This window comes from Homo sapiens, chromosome 16 (assembly GCF_000001405.40).
Source record: "Homo sapiens chromosome 16, GRCh38.p14 Primary Assembly".
NCBI classification, from domain to species: Eukaryota; Metazoa; Chordata; class Mammalia; order Primates; family Hominidae; genus Homo; species Homo sapiens.
Genome location: NC_000016.10, coordinates 74,842,759 through 74,845,924, shown reverse-complemented (window position 1 = coordinate 74,845,924; position 3,166 = coordinate 74,842,759). Strand labels below are relative to the sequence as shown.

The 3,166-nt window shown below is 45.3% G+C and overlaps 1 long non-coding RNA gene across 1 annotated transcript; it reads right to left on the bottom strand.

Moving 5' to 3' along the window:
• Positions 1-497: 497 nt before the first annotated feature.
• On the bottom strand, positions 498-2,825 carry LOC105371343 (uncharacterized). Its single transcript, XR_933739.2, has 3 exons — positions 2,640-2,825; positions 2,047-2,116; positions 498-702 (listed from the first exon to the last, which is right to left on the bottom strand). It is a non-coding gene; the product is annotated as an uncharacterized LOC105371343 (long non-coding RNA).
• Between the last annotated feature and the right edge of the window lie 341 nt (positions 2,826-3,166).

Here is a 3,166-nt window from a genome sequence, read left to right as displayed (position 1 = left end):
TCACAACTATGCTGATTATACTGTATCCAGCACCTTCAGGGGTTTGCAGCAGGGAGGTCTGCAAGTTATTATATCTTGGTCACCAGACTGCAGAACCAGAAGTCTACTGTATTACCCTAAAGTTTTAAAAGCCAGTAATCGAAACAGGAAATGTAGAGCATTTCCAATGTGCCAGGTGGTGTTTTAAATGCTTTTCTTATTTTTATTTTATTATTTATTTATTTATTTTTGAGACAGAGTCTCGCTTCGTCACTCAGGCTGGACTGCAGTGGCATAATCTCAGCTCACTGCAACCTCTGCCTTCTGGGTTCAGGTGATTCTCCTGCCTCAGCCTCCTGGATTACAGGCATGTGCCACCACACCTGGCTACTTTTTTTGTTATGTTTAATAGCGACGGGTTTCACCATGTTGGCCGGGCTGATCTTGAACTCCTGACCTCAAGTGATCCTCACACCTCAGCCTCCCAAAATGCTGGGATTACAGGTGTGAGCCACTGCACCCAGCCTTTAAAATGTTTTTATAGGAACTTAATCTTCCCAGCAACTGCAGGTGGTAGGTGCTACAATCATCCCCATGTTACTGTTGAAGAAACTGAAGCTGAAGTTAAGATAACTTGCTCAAGGTCATAAAATGACAGGGCCAAAATTTGGACCCAGCAGTCTGGCTCTGAAATCCACACTCCTATCTGCTGCACTAGATTATCTGTAAAAAAACAAAGAAAGAAAGAAAGCACAGAAAAATAATGACAACTGGACAGATACATGTTCCGTTATTAAACATGGCTCTCTCAGAGACATGGAAAAGGAAAATAAGGGCTTTCACATTGTAATTTAAAATTTCCTCATTGTTTGTTTTCCCAACATACTTATGTAATTTTTTTTTGTTTTTTTGTTTTTGTTTTTTTTTTAGATGGAGTCTTACTCTATCGCCCAGGCTGGAGTGCAATGGCGCGATCTCGGCTCACTGCAACCTCCACCTCCCAGGTTCAAGCAATTCCCCTGCCTCAGTCTCCCGAGTAGCTGGGATTACAGGTGCCCGCCACTACGTCTGGCTAATTTTTTTGTATTTTTAGTAGTATTTCACAACGTTGGCTAGAACTGGTCTCAAACTCCTGACCTCAGGCTATCCGCCCACCTCAGCCTCCCACAGTGTTGGGATTAAAGGCATGAGCCACTGGGCCTTGCCTACTTATGTAATTTTTAAAAATTACATGTCTTGGTAAGGTTAGAAGTGGCATATTAGTGTTATGGAACTACAGATGATTATTCTGTTATTTTTTCGGTCGTATTTAATATTAATTAAATAATAACATTAAAATAATTTTAAAAAATAAATAATACTTTAACAATAGGACAGCCTGGGCAACATGGTGAAACCCTGTCTCTACAAAAAAGAAAGAAAGAAAAGAAAAGAAATTAGGTGGGCATGGTGATGCACACCTGTAGTCCCAGCCACTCAAGAGGATGAGGTGGGAGGATCACCTGAGCCCACGAAGTTGGAGGCTGCAGTGAGCCGTGACTGTGCCACCGCACTCCAGCCTGGGCAACAGAGTGAGACCGTATCACAAACAAACAAAAAAAAAGGAGGAAAGCACATTAAAAAAAAAAAAAAAAGGCACATTTAAAACTCACCCGAGCCCAGGGAATTCAAGGCTACGGTGAGTCGTGATTGTGACATTTAAAACTCACCCGAGCCCAGGGAATTCAAGGCTACGGTGAGTCGTGATTGTGCCACTGCACTCCAGCCTGGGCAACAGAGTGAGAGCCTATCTCAAAAAACAAAAAATAGGAGAAAACACATTTAAAAAGAATTTGCCTTGTTTTGACAATAGCTTTTGTCAAGCTACTTCAAATGGTTTGATAGAAATCTTAGAGCAGAAATCTCAGCTTTTTTATAATAAACTTCCATCTTTCTCAAATCTTATAATGGGAGTTTACTGAAGAACTAAAACGCATTGTCCAAAGACAGACTGTGTGGTCCTTCGCAGGTCTCTGGCCACTTCTGGCCCTGGGAACGTAGAGCAGCTTCTGCATCTCCCGGACTCACCTCGGAGTAGGCTCTGTGGGAGGCACCGCCCGATGCATCGTCATGGGCCTTGTGAAATACACCAGGTAACCTAAAGAAGGAGGTATCACGTGAGCCATCAGTGTCAACAAGCTGGCCGTGGGAAATCCTGAGGCAGGACTGGCCAGTCTTTCTTCTATCTCTGTACACCTGAGGGTAAGACACATTTTCATAAGCTGCAAGACTCCTGACTGCAGTCACCCTTACCAGGAACAAAGGTCAGCGCTCCAGGGTCCAGGAGAGAGGATGTATGTGGACTGGGCAGAGTCATCAGCGGGACTCTAAGCCTCCCTACCAGGGGACTGACCCCTGCTAAGAATCAGGGCTCTGAGTAAAGACTGAAATCCAAGCTCATCAGAATGAAGAAAGTTAAGACCCCCATTCTGGTGCACCCCCTTAGGATAAGTCCACAGACACCGACTGGGCCTCAGACCCTGCCACACTACTATGAAAGTCTCCTTTGAGTTCTCCGGAGTAAAAGCAAACGTTTTCTGATGAAGATGTTTATACAGAATCTATGACATTCTTAGCTGCTCCCTCTCAAAATCTAGAATCAGAGAACCAAAGAGACCCACCTGCTCTACAGAACCTGGCCCCAGAAGTCCTAGGAAAGGGAATGTTGGCGTCCTGGTACGACCCGTAGGCCGCGGTCACCCGTGCAAATGTCAGTAAGGGGGTGTGACAGAGTTGGGGAGCACAAACCGGTTGCTGGAAGCGCTGTCTTCCTGGTTCTGAAATTTAAAAATCCACAAACTAGGCTGGGTGCAATGGCTCACGCCTGTAATCCCAGCACTTTGGGAGGCCAAGGCGGGTGGATCACCTGAGGTCAGGAGTTCAAGAACAGCCTGGCCACCATGGCGAAATGCCGTCTCTGCTAAAAATACAAAAATTAGGCGAGCGTGGTGGCAGGTGCCTATAATCCCAGCTACTCGGGAGGCTGAGGCAGGAGAATCACTTGAACCCGGGAGACGGAGCTTGCAGTGAGCCGAGATCACACCACTGTACTCCAGCCTGGGTGACAGAGCAAGACTCCGTCTCAAAAAAAAAAAATCCACAATCTGTCTTAAAGCTGAGTTACAAAATAAAGACCCGACATTACAAA